Source organism: Homo sapiens, chromosome 5 (assembly GCF_000001405.40).
Source record: "Homo sapiens chromosome 5, GRCh38.p14 Primary Assembly".
In the NCBI taxonomy this organism is placed as follows: Eukaryota; Metazoa; Chordata; class Mammalia; order Primates; family Hominidae; genus Homo; species Homo sapiens.
The window spans coordinates 160,925,435-160,945,059 of NC_000005.10; the positions used below are offsets into that span (position 1 = coordinate 160,925,435).

Consider the following 19,625-nt stretch of genomic DNA (forward strand, 5'->3'; position numbering starts at 1 on the left):
AACAGAGTGGTTGGGAAAATTGCCCAAGGTCACACAGCTAGCAACTGGCAGTGCCAGCCACTGTAAGCCATGATCCAACCCCTTAGTCACTGTGATAAATTGCCTCTTGCATATAAGAGAAATGCTTCTATCAGTGGCAGATACGAAGTAGTAAATACATTTTGACTATCATGCTTATGTTATTAATTCCTCGCATGGGATACAGTAGCTGCAAATTCTCCTAAAAAGTTAAAGAATTTAAAACAGTTTGGTTTCAGCCTTGTAAACAATGTGTACTCTGAGTTAGTTGATTTCATGTTCTCCTTTGGTAAGTTGCATCTTTTTTCTTCTTTATGAAAATATCTGTCATTTTCTTTAAAGGCCATGAAATTAGGAAAATAGGAGTCCTTTTGGAACATTCTTCCTAAATCTTGGTAAACAAGACAAGTGGACAATGGTGAATAAAAGTGCACAGTTTCCAAGTACCTTCATAGGCCTCATCTCATCAGATAACATCCTGTGAAAAGCAGATGCCTGGTAATGTCAACTGATGTATCCATAAGGATTGCCAGGTAATATAGCCCAGTAGAAGGCATTGCACCTGGTGGATGAGAGCACGTGCTCTGAATCAACCAGTTTGCATTCTAATCTGGGTTCTATCACTTACCACCTGGTGACCTTGGAACTTTTAAATCTCACATTTTCAATTTCCAAAAACAGATAGTAGGCATGATAGTAGGCACTGGATAATCTACATGAGATTATCCAAGGAAGACTCTTAAGACTTAGTAAATTCTCAGTAAAAGTTCACTGCTGATATTGCTATTATCTCTATCGTGGCACAAGAAGTTGGAAAAGAATTCCTGGTAATTACCGCCAGGATTCAAGCCCGGGTCTTCAGAAACTTAATGTAATTCTCTTTTCATAATACAACATTGCTTATGGGCCCCTAGCTTCCCAGAAAATTGTTAGGGCTCTGAGTTGGCTTCTAATTCAAAATTTATTCTTTCAAAAAAAGCATTTCCTAAAATCTGCAAATGAAGACTAGCGCAGGGAAATAGAACAAGATAAGGAGAGACTTAAAAACAGGATCACAGGAGCCAACCTGAGGATCAGATATAAAATCAGATGTCTCTTAAATCAAACAGACAGGGCTGGGGCTGACGCCAGAAACGCTTAACACCCATTACAATGAAGAAGACGTAAGTGCAATAAGGGACCCATAAAAACCACCAGCATGTGAAATACTGCCAAACGCTGTGTGGTTGCCAAGGAGGAAGCATCACTAGGCTGGATTCAAATACTTCTCTCTGCAAAGCAAATAGGCTGAGTGTTAATTAAAGCGTGTAAGTTGATTCTTGAGGTAGCTGCCTGGAAAAAGAAATCCTGCCTAGAAGTCACTTCCTCTGATAGATTTCTTTTGGTACTGTGGATTTTCTGCAAGTGAAATTCTCCAAATCAAACACACCTTCCTGTGTATTCGCTGCTCCCCATTGCTTGTGGAGCTGTGTGCTTTTGAGCAAGAGCTGTATTGTGCTGTTTTCTACATCACTGTCACACTAAGTGCTTTGCAAAGGGCTCACATTACCTGTGCATCTCAAAACAACCTCACATGCTATAGAGAACAGTAGTTATTATTCCATTTTACAGAGGGAACAACATAAGAAATGCAGGCACTAAGTGACTTGCCCACAATTGCAGAGAAGAGTACAGCTCATAGAAACACCTTGGATCCCCTGATTCCAAATGTAGGCCTCTTCCCATCTTAAAAATGAATGACACCCAAAACAGAAAGAGATATGCGAGCAAAGTGCACTGGAAATTTAAGTGGGTGGCTTGATAAAGCAGGGTAAAAGGGTGCACTTTCAGCTTTCTGAAATTGTATTGGCATGACAAGTACCCCCACATCTTTAAGATCAATACCATACCTGGCATCTAGAAGGACAAGCTGGGGTGAGTCAGAAATGCTGTCGCTTTTGAAGACTGGTCAGCAGAGCCAGTCTTACCATACCTTGCTGTTTCTTAGGAGACTAAATCCATGTGATGCCATTTAGCCTTTTTATCTTACCCCAAGAATGAAATCAGCTGGTCCCTGAGCACTTAAAAATCCAGGTGTTCTTTACTTCTGTTCTTAAACCAAGATGTTTATCTTCCTGAGGTGGATTGAGCAGAGGTGTTGAATGAGAAAGAGGTAAACTGGTGGTCATGATATCTCCTGTTCCCTTCGATTACTCATTGACTCAGCAAGCATTAGGCAAGCCCCTGCTATTATTAGAGACTCTGCCAAGCCCAGCGGACACAGTAGTGTCTAGGAGGTAGAAGAAAGGTCTCTACACTCATGGGACTTTTGTGCTAATGGGAGAGTTAAAAAATAAATGGGAAGACAAGAATTTCAGATTGTGATAGGCATTATGAAAATAACACAGTGAGGGAGAGGAATTGGGGGCAGTATTTTAGATGCTGTGATCTGGGAAGCTCTCTGTGAAGAGATGGCCTTTGAGCCGAAACCTGATTAAAAATAGGAAGCTAATATTGGGAAAAGCCAAGGAATAAGTGTTCCAGGCAGAGGGAAGACAGAGTGCCAAGGTCCTGAGAAGGAAACAGAGCAACAGCCAGGGCTGCTGGCTCACTATAGGTTGGTGGACCTGATATGAGGTGAGGGTGGGGAGAGGGCCAGATTTAGAGTCATGAGTCCAGTGAACCATGCTTTGGAGGTGAGACTGGCTCGGTGTCCAGCTCTCCTTTCTCAAACACATTTCCTTCCCTTTTTTTATTGACTGCTCTAGAGCTTCAAGAATTAGCTTCACTTCTGAGTTGCACAGTCCCTGTATTCTTAATGGCACAGGCCACATGGGTTACATATTTTTGACAGGGACTCTTAACAGTCTCCAACCCCACAAGAGCGGGCCATTGAGGTCTGAGAGGAAACCAAGCTTTGAATTAGTTATTGAGCATGGTCACTGGGGATTGGGGCCGTCACCTCTGTTCTGCCTGGAGAAAGGCTATTTACAAACCCAAATAGTTCCTCACCAGCCCTGTACACTTTGAAACTGGAAGACTCTTGGTCAAATATGGCCTCATCGACTGAAGTCAAGCACATGGGTTCTGGGATCAGTAAACCCTCATTGGCTCAGTTAACTTCTCGGAGTCTCACCATCCTCATCAGTAATGATAGATAACACCTGCCTCATGGGCTTGTAATAATATATAAAGTGCTTCCCAGTCATGCTTTGCAAATCATAAGGCTTCAATAAGCTCTCACCATTATGATTTTTATTAGGCACCATCATAAAAATCCCAACTCTCTCCCTCTCTTCCCCACACACATTTCTTTCAAGTTCTTGCATAGTGATTTTGTAACCTTTTGGAAAGGGGCCTTGAAATAGTACAACTAGTGCCCAATGACTATGTGCTATAGACTGTCCAGACAGGCAACTCATTTCCAAGCAGTCAGTAGCTAAGGTAGAGATTCCTTGCAAGGGTGCTCTGCTCATCAGCATGTGAAAGGAACCACGACCACATAGAGCTATCACCATTATCATCTACAACAGCCCTCATAACACAGTCACCTGTATGCCCTGGGCAAAGAGCTTCCCAAATAGATAGAGGATTGGGGGTCCCTGGGATCCTGTTGCTGCTGGTGGCTGAGGGTGAAAACAGCTTGTAGCCCCAGGACCCAGAGTACTGAGGTGAAGGACAGCCTCAGAGGCTCCCTTTGAAGTAGCATCCCTGCCCCAGGCTGGCAATTGGTGGAGAGAACTGAGAAGAAAAATCACCCCCAAGCCTTAGGATCTAACAAGACACTTACCTCCTACCTCCTTGGTGTAAACTCCATAGCTGACAGGGAGGGTTGGCACTCCTTGGGTGTTTTTTTTCTGGTGGGACACTAGGGAGAAAGACTGAGCTGCTACCACCCCCAGATATCCCATCAAAGGGGAGCGACTGACAGAGAACCTCCTTCTCATGGGTGGCTGGAGCAGGTGGTCCCCACCCATATAGAAGCCCAGCCTTCAGTGTCACACGCCTGAACACAATTCCTCCACCCCAATTTCCTCCTCTCTGGGCCTGCTGCAGAAACCTGCTTAGCCCCACCCTCCTTATCCACTCTAGGCTCCTATTCCAAGCCCTGCATCTCCACCCTCCTCCCTTGGCTTCTGGCAGGACTGGCCTAACTAGCTCAGGCACCCGAGAGGCCACCTGTGTGCTGCTCTTAGCTGGTGGGTGGCTAACCCATGTCTCCACCAGCCCTGCTGTGGCCACACAATTGATTTTGAGAGAGCACCTGGGTTAATTAGAGCCAGAACTTGGGACTTTGGCCCTGCTATGAAAAAAATGAAGAGTACCTGTTTTCTGGTGCTTGATTAAAAATCTGTAGAAATATGAAGACCAGGTATCAGGAGATGGGGTCTCTGCTTAGCTGCTGCATGAAATGGCTTCAATACAAACCAAGTTGCCTCTGTCTTTGGTGCTAGAGATTTGGCCATGTTGCACCAGTACCTCAAGGTCGCAAGCTTTCCTCAGGATGATGCAGCATCTACCCTTATTCTCAGCAGAGAGAACCTGAGCAACAGTTTGAAATTTTCTCACAAGATGTAAAGAAATTCCAGTTTTTCCTCTGTGTAGTGTTAGGGAAATCACCAAGGAAAGTTTAGCAATGTACGGCGTGTCTGTTATTAAAAAGCAATTTGTCACCCCCATTAACACCTGTTCCACTGAATCCACAGGTGATCTTAATGGTGACTTAAATATCCTTGAAAAAGAACACTTATTCAGGTACCAAATCTAAGGATTTGGGATTTTATTTCCCTACCCTGGCAAGTTAGTATTACTTTCTTCCAGAAATTGCCAGATTTTAGGATTCATAAGTCTTATCTGGAATATGAAAAATACAGATTTCTGCACACAATTCTCAATTCCGAGAGAGCCCAGGAATTCATATTAAAAAAAAATTCTTTGAGGCGATTCTGATTTGGATTGTCTTGCACCTGTACTTGGAGAAATACTGCCTCAGAATAGATCTAAATTCTTTATTACCAGCCCGAGTTGAGTTGGGGACCAGCTATTTCACATTGTTTCCAACTCACTCTTCTACCCTCCCCTCAGGAATTCTGCAGCTGACTCCAGCATCTCCCTCCTCCCTTTAACTCACAAATGAGCTTTGTCAGAGGAGACAGCCTTGGCCTCAAAGATATTCCAGCTATAAGAGGCCTTAGAAATGATGTCATTGAACTGTTACTGCACCAGCACAGACACTGAGCTCTAGCCCTGCCCTTTCTCCACCTGAGGCCCAGGTCTCACACCTTGTCACCTACAGGAGATATGCAGGCCCCTTAAGATCACCTGTTCCAAAGCCAATTTCCCTATGCCAGCCCCTTCCCAGGCTCTCTTCTTTTGGAGAAGAACCCAGGTGTGTGGGCCCCAGAATCATCCTCTCCCTCCTCTATGGCTGAGGCAGTCTGTGTTCAGGTTCCTAATTTCTACAGTCAGACTCAGTTTTAGAATGAGATTCTCATATCCCACCTGCCTCACCAAGTGGAGTTATTATATGGGCAATTAGGTCTCATATGACCATTTGCTTATGTCAAGCATTTAATCATAAGATAAAGACTATAGGACCCATTTGATTCAATTCACATTAAGCACTTGATACGTACAGGGCATCTTGCTAGGCACAGCCAGGGGTGTGAAGAGGACCCAAGGTGTTGATGCTGTTGTTGTTACTATAATTTGCTTTGTTTTACTAGTGAATTGGGTGGAGGGCAATAATGACAGTAGGGAAATCTACCCTTAAATCTATACTTACCCAAGAAGACATGCTGTCTTGAGGCTGCTCACCCCCGTCTCATCGGAAGCTCAGGTGATTTTGTGTATACAATAAAGAATTGTTTCCTTGACTCATCTGTGCAGAGCACAACATTCTTTTTTCCCCCCAGTACTTATCACCTGGTCTCTGATTGTACCATTCATCAGATGAAATTAATAGCAGCCTAGTCTAGTGGTTACAAATACAGACTTTGGTACCAGACTGCTGGAATTCACGTCCTTGGCACCACCAGCTTTCAGCTGTGTGGTTTTGGGCAAAGTGCTGACTCTAGGGGTTTACACCACAGCAGATATTGATTGAATAATCACATACAAGTGGTGAAATGACAGTTGGGATAAATGCTAAGGAGGAAAGATACCCAGGGCTGTGAAAGCATGTGAAGAGATTTGTCCAGGTCAAAGAGTCAGATTAGAACTGGGATGGAGTTAACGATGCAGAGGAGTGGGGTTGGCATCAGATTGTTCCAGATAGAGAAACACCATGCACCCTGTGTAGTGGTCAGTATTGTTGCAGTAACAAATGATCTCCAAATCTCAGAAATTTCTACCACAAGGTTTATTAAAGGGAGACTATGCATTGACTGAAGCTTTCTTTGGCTGCAGCAGTTTCCCATTCAGGGACTTAAGCTGAAGGAACAGCTTCCTAAGTGGGATATGCTATTCTCATAGCAGAAAGAAAGACCAGGAGTACTGTGGACACCTGTCCTGCCTCTTAGAGTTTCTACTTGGATGTGGCCTCTGTCATGTCTGCTTTTGTTCCTTTGGTCAAAGCCAAAAGCCGATGGGACAGGGATGCATGGGCCTCCCACTGGGGACATAGAAAGCTGCATGGCAGTGGGCAGGAATGCACTCCTCTTACAGGGAAAGGGGTGGTGTCAGGTTTTAACTGGGGTCCGAGGGGAGTTGGTGGGGTGAGTGGCGGGTAGCTGGAGAAACACTCAAGGAATCGTAGACAGTTTTGACTTGGCTTTACTCTCTCTAAGTGCGAGTGAGTCTGGGCATGAGTGAGCCTGGGGGTGAGCCATATGTACAGCTTTAGTAGGGTAACCATACCTTTTACAGACAATAGTGGTTCTGAGCAAAACATGAGCGCACGTGTGTGATCACCTAATGCACCTCACATGGTGTGGTTACATAATGTGCAGGGCTGTGCACCTGTGCTCCAAACCCACTGAGTTATGCTGCTTTGGAAGGCTGCCTCAGCTTATTCCTGACTAAAGTGCAGCCATTTTCCTTACCCTCCACTCCCTAGGCCAAGAGTGTCCTCCGGGCAGAGACATGTGCCCATACAGCAGAGCCCTGAATCTATAACCCACAATAACAATACAGAGAGCAACAGCTACTAGGATCCCAGTTACGCTATTTATAACTATTGGGGCCCAGCATAGGCCAGAGCCTAGGGATGCCCCTCCTTCTCTGCAGGGGTTCATCAGTAAGGCTCCCTAGAAACTTATTCTCCCATGAGACCCCTTGAAGGGCTGCTGTTATGTTCTGCTGACTGTCAGGGATAAAGGTACAACATTGTGTTCCTAAAAGGGTACAGATGCCTCCTTGGGCAGCAGTTACTATGTCTAAGGCCATTCGGTTTTGCAACACCACCTTCCTGATCTGATCAACTGCATCAATTGACAGGAGGAGGGCCCCTCGGGTGTGATTCAGAGCCCGAGCGGTGTGCTCTGCAAAAGCAGTAACTTCTGCTTTTACAGTTATGATACCCACTCCAGGGATAGTCACTTCCAAGGTGAAGAACCACCAGGGGCCTCATCGCACTCACAAAAAGTGAGAGCATAGCACCTCCCAGTTATTCTGGCATCTGGGCAAAGCAGGGAGAACAGTGCCAGGTACGTAAGGCCAAACTCAGGTACAACGTCCAGGCCAGTCTGCTGGTAGGTAAGGACACCCTGTGTCCTCAATGACCCATAAACTCCCAGGGGTCATAAAATCCATCAGGGCCTGACCTTGGGTGGGGCCGCATGTTCCACCATACCTTCGGTGTGGTGACATGTGTTATGTTTACACAGGCCTTGCAGGGTAGCCATCCCACAGTGGTGTTACCCCAGTGTTCCTCTATGCACTGCCGTCCCTGAGCTGGGGGTACTACATATTTCCCCACTAGCCAGCCCCTCCCATCATAAATGCTACAGGCAAGATGGGGCAGGCATGCTATGGGTCTTGCGGAATTCTTTGTCTGCAGCTTGCCCTGTCGCATTCCAGGTGTCGGCCATGGGACTCAAAGTCTCCAGCCATGTCCATTTCTCTGCAGATGCTGAATGTATGTGCCAAGGCAAGCCATCTGCAGCTGCTCCTGGAAGGATGGTGCAGATCCAACAGTTGGAAACATTGGTCACCTCAGTGAAGGTGTGGGCCCAGTCCACAATGCAGTTGGAGCATGTCAACCTACGGTCGAAATGACAGAGCAGGCACAGGTACTAACAGAGTTAAATCATGTCCCTCAGGCAAAATACAGTCTAACCTTTCATCTCTGGATAACAATGCAGATGCCAACAGTTTTTGCCCTGGGAGATGGTGCCACACTTTATCAGCTCCGCATGGTTCCTTTGAGTCTTGTATCTGTGCCAAAGTCACAGGGAAGCTCATGATAGGCCACACAGACAGTACATATGTCCCCTGGAGAAGGGTTCCTTCCCTGGCCATTTCTCTATGAACGGTCAACCGCAGGGGCCATGTATTGAACACCCAAGGAGTGACATGCAAGTCATGATGTAGGCCCTCCCCCAAGAGAGCTATGATGGCCAACCACTGGCAGTGGGGTCTTGGAGGGTCCATGGCCAAAGCCAGGTTTTCTGTTCCCTGCCTTCAGGGGCCACAGGGGTAGGCCACAGGGGCAGGCAACAACAGGTTTCCATTCATCCCCATACCTGGTTGGAGGAGGTAATTCTTGGTGTGTATCTGCAACTGAAGGTGGTTGGGGGGTGGGCAGCCCAGTGTAACAAAGCCTTCACCAGGGCTGGACCAGCCACATTTCTGTGGCTCTTCATTCAAGGTTTGGAGCACCAGGTCCAACCTTGAACTGCGGCCCCAAAAAGATGGGGGTGTGACATGCAAGCATAACCTATTCTTCAAGAGCTCATTATATCGTTCAATCATACCCACAGCTTGCGGGTTGTATGGCACACGGAATCCCCACTTTACGTCCATTGGTTGTGCCCATTGTTGTACCTGTTGTCCAGTGAAATATGTTCCCCTATCACGCCCAATGGCCAGAGGGCAACCATACAGGGCACATAAGTGTTGCAGGGCCCAGATGGTGTTCCGCTGTTCGGCCACCCTGCAAGGGTAGGCGAACAACAGGCCTGTGGCCATGCCCACAGCTGTTAGTGTATGTGTATACTCTTGCAACTTTGGCAGTGACCCGATGTAGTCTGCTTGCCACCTAGTCAAGGATACTTGCCCTGTCATTACCTGTGTAACACTGGGCAGCTTCCTCTGTTTAGGGTATGCCTGAGCACATGCTGGGCATTTCTGACAACCCTCCCAAATGTGTGGACAGGGACAGACCCCAACGCTTATTGACCTGTTGCATCAGTTTACTCCCCATGTGTCCCAGTTTCCAGTGTAGCCACAAGGCCACATCTCATGTAGGTGCCAACTCTAACCATCGGATCTTGGCCAAGGCATCTGCCTCATCATTGCCAGGGGTGGCCAAAGGCATATGGCCTGACACGTGATAAATAGTTCTTTTTCTGATGACCCATTTCCCAGAGGTCTTGCCACATGGCTTGGCCCCAAATGGGTCAGTGGCCGACTAGCCACTTCTCTATTTTCCAGGTAGTTAACAACAAGGTTAAGCTTCAATAGACTGCCCAGATATTGGTATAGATTACCACAGGTGTCACCTCCTTGGTGATCATCATCCACACTGCTCTGAGTTCAGCCCATTGGCTAATTTGTCCACACCTGGTTTCAAACCATATGGTGTCAGTACTATGTTGGACTGCAACAGTGGTCCAGGCAGCAATAGCACCTGGGCTAGATCCATCTGTGTACCATGCCCCATCAGGAATGGGGGAATGCCCTTCCTTAAACAGTGAAGGTTCAGGGTCTAGGGGTGCTTCAGGTCCCATGGCCTTATCTTGCAGTAGCACTACAGTCCCCAAGACCTCTTGCAACTCTGCTGCTAAGACACGTGTAGTCAGTGTACTCTGCTGCTCCAAGTAGAGGCCCCACTTTGCCAAAGTGGATGTCTGTGCTGTCCCAGTCTTGGGGGTCATTACCCGTGATTGCACCTATCCCACTATCGGGTAAGTTATCCACACAATGACTGCAGCCCATCTTGTCATAATTTCACAAGCATGAAGGGCAGCAAATACAGCTGTTAGCTGTTTCTCTATCAAGGAATACTGGAGCTCAACTCCCTTCCACAGTTGGTACTAAAAGCCTACTGGAATTCTCAAGCACTCCATGCAGTCCCACAGGTCCCAACCGGAACCATCTGTGGTCACATGCACATCCAGCTCAAATTGGCACCCCTGGTCAACTACCTGTAGGGCTTGTGCCTGCTGAATAGCCCACATGGATGCCAGGAAGGCAGTCTAAGCTGCACCATCCCAGTCCTAGGTAGCTCCCTTCTTTGTTAACTGATGCAACAGTTTTATCATTTGAGCTAAATGGGGCACAAATGCCTGCCAATATCCCAGGAGGCCCACAAAAGTTCGCAGCTACTTCACCATGGTGGGCCGGTAATATGCCTGAATCTTATCAACGATAGCCTCTGGGATGGCCTTTGTCTTACCTGACCAGATAACTCCCAGGAATCTCGCAGATAATCCAGGCTGTTGGACCTTGGATTTGTTGATGGCCCAACCACATGCAGCCAAATGTTGCCACAAGAAGGGCGCCACTGCTTCTAAATCTGCAAGAGAATCAGAAGTTAACATAATATCATCAATATAATGGAATAGGTGGACCCTTTCTGGACATTGCCACGTGGCTAAATCTGTGGCAACTAGACCATGACATTTGATAGGGCTATGCTCATAGCCCTGCAGCAACACTAAAAGTCCATTGTTGCCTATCCCACGTGAAGGTGAACTGTTCCTGGCTCTCTGGAGTGATGTCTATGGAGAAAAATGCATTGGCCAAGTCCACTACATAGTGGTGCTGTCCCAATTCCATTGTCAACTGGTCCATCAAATCCATGATTGATGGTACAGCTGCATGCAAAGAGGGTGTTACTTTATTCAGTTCTCGATAGTCCACTGTCATCCACCAAGTTCCATCAGGCTTTCTAACTGGCCACACTGGAGAATTGTAGAGGCTGTGGGTGCCACGCACTATCTGCACCTCCTCCAGCTTTTTGGTTGTCTCAGTTATCTCTGTATGCCCACCTGGCGAATGGTATTGATGAGTGGAAGTAACTCGTTGGGGTTGTGGCAGGACCTGAGGCTAGTGATGTGTATGTCTGCACAGCACCAGCTTCCACATACACTTGGTGTCTGAATTCCCTGGCCGTGGTTTGTAACACCAGGCCATGTAAAATGTCCACCCCTAGAATGTATTCTGGAATGGGAGAGACATACATAGTATATAAATGGGGAGCCAAGTGGCCAATGCTGAGGTACAGAGATACAGGTTTCACTTTCACTGACCAGCCTCCATAACTGTCAGTGTAAGCAGGTTTGCCGGGAAACTTCTCCAGGTTCCCATAAACAAGGCTGCAATCTGCACCAGTATCCAGCAGTGCCAGCACCAACTGCACTTTGTTGGGGGACTAGTGGATCCCTAATTCCATATGTAGCCTCCAGTCATCTGATTTCCCCCCAAGCTGGGTGCCTCTGCCAGTTCCCTAATCAAACAGAAAAGCCTCTAGATTTCTGCCCAGCTGCAGCAAGTAGTCTTTGAGCTGAAATGCCTGGGTGGGACCTGGTCACGCAGCAATATCCTTATCCCCCTTGGGCATATTCTGGAATTGCTGCTTCAGAGATAACTGTCTCCAGAAAGTTAAGAGAACTTCATTGTCTGCTTATCGATTTTCTCTTGGTCAACCCTGGCCAAAATCAAATATACCCACATATGTGAGTGTGTCATTCATTGGAGCCCCCTTTTCTCCCATGGGGTGCCCCCAGAAGGCAGGGCATCTTCCCCTTTTGTATGGCGCAGACCCCTTGGTCCCACTGGCAACCTTCTGCTTCCCTGAGAGCCACCATAACAGTGGTCATTCCATGTATGCGGTGCCCTACCTCTGGGGTGAGGACTGTAGCCAGGGAGCCAAAGGCACTTGGGGGCACAGAACCCAACACGAGATCCCTCATGTGGGAGGTGAAACATTCATCATCTGGCCCCTGGTTTTTCAGGTCAAACAGCCTGCCACATACCCATCTCCCAGATGACTTGCACCAAATCGGCATACGACTGCCATTTACTCATGGTTTTGAGTATTTCTTCGGCATTGATCCACACTGTCTGTACGGCTGGCCATAGCCACTCAATCAGGGTGTGGTCACCTTGCCCTTGCGCCAACTGCCTGCTCACCTGCAACTGCTGATGGAGGGAGGGGTGAGTCATGATAGAGGCCAGCTTTTCCACCTCAGAGGCAGAACAGGAGATGTTATCTGCTCCCTCGTCCTGCAAATGAAGCATCCATGTGGACAGAGGTTCCTCTGGATACTGGAGACACTGCTTGCCTAATTCCTGCAACTCAGTTGGGGTATAGGCAGTATATAAAGTATTTCATATTACAGTGGGGGGTCCCTGAGCATGCCCTTGTGGCCTCAATGGCTGTTCATGATCTACCTTCTGATGGACCACTGGGTGAGCCCGCAATGGGGGTTCTTCCTCCTTCGTATCAGACGGAGTGGGGGGTCTCGGGCCAACATGATGCACCCAGGCTTGCATTCACAGCAGCCTCTAATTCCTTTTCCAAGCTCTGTAGCTGAGCCTCCAAGCATCCTGCCTGCTCCTGGAGTTTCTCATTCATGGCAGCTTCTAACTCTTTTTCTGAGCTGTGTAGCTGGGCCTCCAGGTGCCCAACCTGTGCCCAGAGGGCCCTTACCTGTGCTTTACCCCTCAGGGACTTGGTGTGTACTTCTTATAGCACAGTCAAAAATGCCATCTAACTCTGCCAGCAAAAGCTTGCTCCTTCTTTGTGCTCTGTGCTTCCAGCTTCATCTGAGCAGCATAGCTGCCACTGGGTACCACAACCCATGTTGTGGCCACATGGCTGACCCGGAATCTGTGGGGACCAAAGGCTCACTCACCTCAGGATCTGTTCATGGCGCCAAATGTCAGGTTCTAACTGAGGTCCAAGGGGAGTCAGGCGAGTGGCGGTAGCTGGAAAAACACTTAAGCAATTGTGGACGGTTTCAACATGGCTTTATTCTCTCTCTGGGCACAGGAGAGCCTGAACGTAAGCCATATATACAGCATTAGCAGGGTAATTATACTTTTTACTGACAATAGTGGCTCCAAGCCAAGCACAAGCTTTCATGGGTGATTACCTAATGCACCTCACATGGAATGGTTACATAATGTGTGGAGGGGTTGTGTGCCCGCACTCCAAAGCTGCTGAGTCATGCTGCACCAAAAGGCTGCCTTGGCCTACTCCTGACGGAAGTGCAACCATTTCCCTCACAGGTGGGAATGAACAATTGAAAAAAATAATACAATTTACTATATTAAGGCTCTGTGGTAGCAGGAAAATAACAAAAGACCTGGAGACCTGCATGGCTAGAGCTGAGAGAGCTGGTAGAGGCATAATGAGAGAGGGGATTGGGGTGGCAGGTGGCGGCCAACCCGGGTGAGCAAATCTGACCTTGATACTGTGAGCAGTGGGAAACCACTGACCTTTACCCATCTAATGTCTCTCTTTAGTGGTTAACTGAATACTTTTAATGTTTTTCTGGTCTCTGAAGTGATACCTGTTCATTATAAAAAATTTCAAAATGACAGATGAATAAAAAGAAAAAAATACAAATTACCTTTAATTTTACAACTCAAAGAACCATCATTGGTTTAAATTTTGGTGAATACATCTCTAAATGTTTTTCATGCAAATATTTTAAAAAGCAAAATTGGATCACCTTCATCCATTGTTATGAGTATTTTTTACCTTATTAAACATTCTCTCTATGATAATTTAGTCACCATATGGATGCACCACAATTTAACTGATTTCCTACTATTGGACATCTGGGTTTTTGTAATTTCTCCATTTTAAAAAAATTCCACAATGAAGTTCCATATATTTAGCAACATTGATGCAACTTTTAAGAAGGGGCATTTTTATCTTAGAGGGTATGACAGATTTTAGGCCATAGATATATGTTGCCCATTCTCACTAAAAAAGAGTTGTAGCCGATCACACACAACCTCAGAGCATGATTTGCCAGCTCTGATTATAATTATTTCATATTGCAAATTTGATCAGTGGACAATATTGTCTTATTTTTACTTTGCATTTGTTTCCTAATTAAAAATAGAACTTTTAAAAAAACAGTTCGCCATGGTTTCATCAGGGAAAGACTCATCTGATTCAAAATCTGGGCCTTTGGATTTGCTGCCTAGAATGCACTCCTGATTTCTCTTCAACAAATTATAGCTACTTTGTCCCTTATGACTCATTGCAATATTTTCTTCGGCTTTCTACAAGACTCTTTCTCTTATTTTCTCTGTCCCAATTGTCTCCTCACTGTAGAAGCTGCTAGTGAAGATACAGGTAGTGGGTTCCGCAATGTGGTGAGATGACATGACTCACATGCACATTGTCTTCATACGGAGAGGGTGCTCTCCTGTGATTTAACTTTGTGACCTTCTACAGTGTCTCACCCTGTGTTCTGCACATGTTATGGTCCATAAATATTTGTGAGTGAATGATAAGAAAAGTCACCATGGCACAAAAGAGTGGATAATTTTTGACTTGATGGATGACTCAACTGTGGAGCCTTGTATACAGATATATTAATAAAATATTGCAGACCAAAGTCATCACGAATGCCGCTCAAGATCTCTTTTTAGATTGTGCACCTATCACCAATATATTTGGATAATTTCAACTTTATGGATTCGGGGGTACACGTGCAGATTTGTTACATGGCTACTTTGCATGATGCTGAGGTTTGGGGTATGAATGATCTTGTCACTCTGAGAGTGAGCACAGTACCCAATAGTTTTTTTACCCCTTATCTCCCTTCCTCTCTCCCCATTCTAGTAGTCCCAGTGTCTATTGTTCCCATCTTTATGTCCATGCCCACCATCAGTTTTTAAGCTTTCACACTACAGCTCAGCAACATAGAACATTTTGATTTAACAGAAGCCCAATTACGTTATCTCTTTCTGATATTTTTATTTTTCCCTCTGGCTTAGAGACAAAAGCACTTACATCGATTTGAAATGTGACATAGTTTCCAGCTAATTTTTATTAAGGGTTTGAGGGACTTTTTTCTCTGGTTATAGGCTGTGCTAATGTCTTGCCACGCTAGTCTGACAATGTAAATTGCATCTGTAGTCTTCTTTTCTTATGTTATGGGGAAAGGGCAAAAGACTTAGAACTTGCAAAGGCCATTAACACAGCATTTGGCTGTGCCAGTGGTGAAGGCGGAGGAAAGGACAGCCTTGACATGGCCTTGACATGGCCTTGCCTTCAGCAGTAGTGGGTTATGTGCTCAAAGTCTCTCAGGGGCCTCAGCTAGACTGGGTAAATGATGACGTCTCTCTGTCTTTGTCTTGGCATCGTTCTAAAACTGGCCCTTCTTTATCTGTGGTCACGCGCTTGTTCCCTTGTCCTGAAGGAGCTGGGACTCAAGCATGTCCAGCCTTTGTCCCATGATGTCATGCCTTCTAAACTGATAAGAAGTGCAATTTAGGATTACTCTTTTTTTATTATTTTATTTTTTTAATTATACTTTAAGTTCTAGGGTACATGTGTACAACGTGCAGGTTTGTCACAGAGGTATACATGTGCCATGTTGGTGTGCTGCACCCATTAACTCGTCATTTACATTAGGCATATATCCTAATGCTATCCCTCCCCCCTCCCCCCACCCCACGACAGGCCCTGGTGTGTGATATTGCCCACCCTGTGTCCAAGTGTTCTCATTGTTCAATTCCCACCTATGAGTGAGAACATGTGGTGTTTGGTTTTCTGTCCTTGCAATAGTTTGCTCAGAACAATGGTTTCCAGCTTCATCCATATCCCTACAAAGGACATAAACTCATCCTTTTTTATGGCTACATAGTATTCCATGGTGTATATGTGCCACATTTTCTTAATCCAGTCTATCATTGATGGGCATTTGGGTTGGTTCCAAGTCTTTGCTATTGTGAATAGCACTGTAATAAACACACTTGTGCATGTGTCTTTATAGCAGCATGATTTACAATCCTTTGGGTATATGCCCAGTAATGGGATGGCTGGGTCAAATGGTATTTTTAGTTCTAGATCCCTGAGGAATTGCCACACTGTCTTCCACAATGGTTGAACTAGTTTACAGTCCCACTAACAGTGTAAAAGCATTCTTATTCCTCCACATCATCTCCATCATCTGTTGTTTCCTGACTTTTTAATGATCGCCATTCTAACTTGTATGAGATGGTATCTCATTGTGGTTTTGATTTGCATTTCTCTGATGGCCAGTGATGATAAGAATTTTTTCATGTGTCTGTTGGCTGCATAAATGTCTTCTTTTGAGTAGTGTCTGTTCATATCTTTTGTCTAGTTTTTGATGGGGTTGTTTGATTTTTTCTTGTAAATTTGTTTAAGTTCTTTGTAGATTCTGGATATTAGCCCTTTATCAGATGGGTAGATTGTAAAAATTTTCTCCCATTCTGTAGGTTGCCTGTTCACTCTGTGGTGGTTTCTTTTGCTGTGCAGAAGCTCTTTAGTTTAATTAGGTCCCATTTGTCAATTTTGGCTTTTGTTGCCATTGCTTTTGGTGTTTTAGTCATGAAGTCCTTGCCCATGCCTATGGCACGAATGGTAATAATATAGCCTAGGTTTTCTTCTAGGGTTTTTATGGTTTTGGGTCTAACATTTAAGTCTTTAATCCATCTTGAATTAAATTTTGTATAAGGAGTAAGGAAGTGATCCAGTTTCAGTTTTCTACACATGGCTAGCCAGTTTTCCAAACACCTTTTATTAAATAGCGAATGTTTTCCCAGTTTCTTGTTTTTGTCAGGTTTGTCAAAGATCAGATAGTTGTAGATGTGTGGTATTATTTCTGAGGGCTCTATTCTGTTCCATTGGTCTATATCTCTGTTTGGTACCAGTACCATGCTGTTTTGGTTACTGTAGCCTTGTAGTATAGTTTGAAGTCAGGTAGCGTGATGCCTCCAGCTTTGTTCTTTTGGCTTAGGATTGACTTGGCACTGTGGGCTCTTTTTTGGTTCCATATGAACTTTAAAGTAGTCTTTTCCAATTCTGTGAGGGAAGTCATTGGTAGCTTGATGGGGATGGCATTGAATCTATAAATTACCTTGGGCACTATGGCCATTTTCACAATATTGACTTTTGCTATCCATGAGCATGGAATGTTCTTCCATTTGTTTATGTCCTCTTTTATTTCATTGCACAGTGGTTTGTAGTTCTCCTTGAAGAGTTCCTTCACATCCCTTGTAAGTTGGGTTCCTAGGTATTTTATTCTCTTTGAAGTAATTGTGAATGGGAATTCACTCATGATTTGACTCTCTGTCTGTTACTGGTGTATAGGAATGCTTGTGATTTTTGCACATTGATTTTGTATCCTGAGACTTTGCTGAAGTTGCTTATCAGCTTAAGGAGATTTTGGGCTGAGACGATGGGGTTTTCTAGATATACAATCATGTCATCTGCAAACAGGGACAATTTGACTTCCTCTTTTCCTAATTGAATACCCTTTATTTATTTCTCTTGCCTGATTGCCCTGGCCAGAATTTCCAACACTGTGTTGAATAGGAGTGGCGAGAGAGGCATCCCGTCTTGTGCCAGTTTTCAAAGGGAATGCTTCCAGTTTTTGCCCATTCATTATGATATTGGCTGTGGGTTTGTCATAAATAGCTCTTATTATTTTTAGATACGTCCCATCAATACCTAGTTTATTGAGAGTTTTTAGCATGAAGAGCTGTTGAATTTTGTTGAAGGCCTTTTCTGCATCTATTGAGATAATCATGTTGTTTTTTTGTCTTGGTTCTGTTTATATGATGGATTACATTTATTGATTTGCATATGTTGAACCAGCCTTGCATCCCAGGAATGAAGCCAACTTGATCACAGTGGATAAGCTTTTTGATGTGCTGCTGGATTCGGTTTGCCAGTATTTTATTGAGGATTTCTGCATCAATATTCATCAGGGATATTTGTCTAAAATTCTCTTTTTTTGTTGTGTCTCTGCCAGGCTTTGGTATCAGGATGATGTTGGCCTCATAAAATGAATTAGGGAGGATTCCCTCTTTTTCTATTGATTGGAATAGTTTCAGAAGGAATGGTAGCAGCTCCTCTTTCTACCTCTAGTAGAATTTGGCTGTGAATCTGTCTGGTCCTGGACTTTTTTGGTTGGTAGGCTATTAATTATTGCCTCAATTTCAGAGCCTGTTATTGGTCTATTCAGAGATTCAACTTGTTCTTGGTTTAGTCTTGGGAGGGTGTATGTGTCCAGGAATTCATCCATTTCTTCTAGATTTTCTAGTTTATTTGCATAGAGGTATTTATAGTATTCTCTGATGGTAGCTTGCATTTCTGTGGGATCAGTGGTGATATCACCTATATCATTTTTTATTGCATCTATTTGATTCTTCTCTCTTTTCTTCTTTATTAGTCTTGCCAGCGGTCTATGAATTTTGTTGATCTTTTCAGAAAACCAGCTTCTGGATTCATTGATTTTTTGAAGGGTTTTTTGTGTCTCTATCTCCTTCAGTTCTGCTCTCATCTTCATTATTTCTTGCCTTCTGCTAGCTTTTGAATGTGTTTGCTCTTGCTTCTCTAGTTGTTTTAATTGTGATGTTAGGGTGTCAATTTTAGATGTTTGCTGCTTTCTCTTGTGGGCATTTAATGCTGTAAATTTCCCTCTACACACTGCTTTAAATGTGTCCCAGAGATTCTGGTATGTTGTGTCTTTGTTCTCATTGGTTTCAGATGAAACCTTCTTTATTTCTGCCTTCATTTTGTTATGTACCCAGTAGTCATTCAGGAGCAGGTTGTTCACTTTCCATGTAGTTGAGTGGTTTTGAGTGAGTTTCTTATTCCTGAGTTCTAGTTTGATTGCACTGTGGTCTGAGAGACAGTTTGCTATAATTTCTGTTCTTTTACATTTGCTGAGGAGTGCTTTACTTCCAACTATGTGGTCAATTTTGGAATAACTGCAATGTGGTGCTGAGAAGAATGTGTATTCTGTTGATTTGGGGTGGAGAGACCTGTAGATGTCTATTAGGTCCACTTGGTGCAGAGCTGAGTTCAATCCTGGATATCCTTGGTAACTTTCTGTCTCGTTGATCTGTCTAATATTGACAGTGGGGTGTTAAAGTCTCCCATTATTATTGTGTGGGAGTCTAAGTCTTTTTGTAGGTCTCTAAGGACTTGTTTGATGAATCTGTGTGCTCCTGTATTGGGTACATATATATTTAGGATAGTTAGCTCTTCTTGTTGAATTGATCCCTTTACCATTAGGTAATGGCCTTCTTTGTCTCTTTTGATTTTTGTTGGTTTAAAGTCTGTTTTATCAGAGACCAGGATTGCAACTCCTGCCTTTTTTTGTTTTCCATTTGCTTGGTATATCTTCCTCCATCCCTTTATTTTGAGCCTATGTGTGTCTCTGCACATGAGATAGGTTTCCTGAATACAGCACACTGATGGGTCTTGACTCTTTATCCAATTTGCCAGTCTGTGTCTTTTAATT

General features: G+C 44.6%; 1 protein-coding gene and 1 long non-coding RNA gene across 6 annotated transcripts in view, besides 2 other annotated features; both read right to left on the reverse strand.

The window, feature by feature from the left end:
- Positions 1 to 3,926, reverse strand: part of ATP10B (ATPase phospholipid transporting 10B (putative)) — a 366,241-nt gene extending 362,315 nt beyond the window's left edge. For all 4 annotated transcript variants that reach the window (XM_017009252.2, XM_047416995.1, XM_011534468.3 and 1 more), the window contains exon 1: positions 3,788 to 3,926. The gene's annotated coding sequence lies outside the window, so the exon portion shown is untranslated. The remainder of the gene's footprint in view (positions 1 to 3,787) is intronic.
- Positions 3,216 to 3,717: an enhancer, noted in NCBI's record as "NANOG hESC enhancer chr5:160355657-160356158 (GRCh37/hg19 assembly coordinates)". NCBI's record gives its function as "activates a minimal SCP1, AML or CMV promoter by ChIP-STARR-seq in primed H9 embryonic stem cells {active_cell/tissue: H9 hESC(primed)}" and the evidence as "EXISTENCE:reporter gene assay evidence [ECO:0000049][PMID:30033119]".
- A 2,417-nt stretch (positions 3,927 to 6,343) lies between the features above and the next one.
- On the reverse strand, positions 6,344 to 13,192 carry LINC02159 (long intergenic non-protein coding RNA 2159). Of its 2 annotated transcripts, none has more exons than NR_151858.1 (3): positions 13,020 to 13,192; positions 10,556 to 10,675; positions 6,344 to 8,199 (listed from the first exon to the last, which is right to left on the reverse strand). It is a non-coding gene; the product is annotated as a long intergenic non-protein coding RNA 2159 (long non-coding RNA). The 2 variants fall into 2 exon arrangements; NR_027111.1 differs by having other exon boundaries at positions 6,344 to 8,373.
- Positions 12,707 to 13,906: an enhancer, noted in NCBI's record as "MED14-independent group 3 enhancer chr5:160365148-160366347 (GRCh37/hg19 assembly coordinates)". NCBI's record gives its function as "activates an origin of replication core promoter dependent on BRD2, BRD4, P300/CBP and CDK7 cofactors, and independent of MED14, by STARR-seq in HCT116 cells {active_cell/tissue: HCT116}" and the evidence as "EXISTENCE:reporter gene assay evidence [ECO:0000049][PMID:35650434]".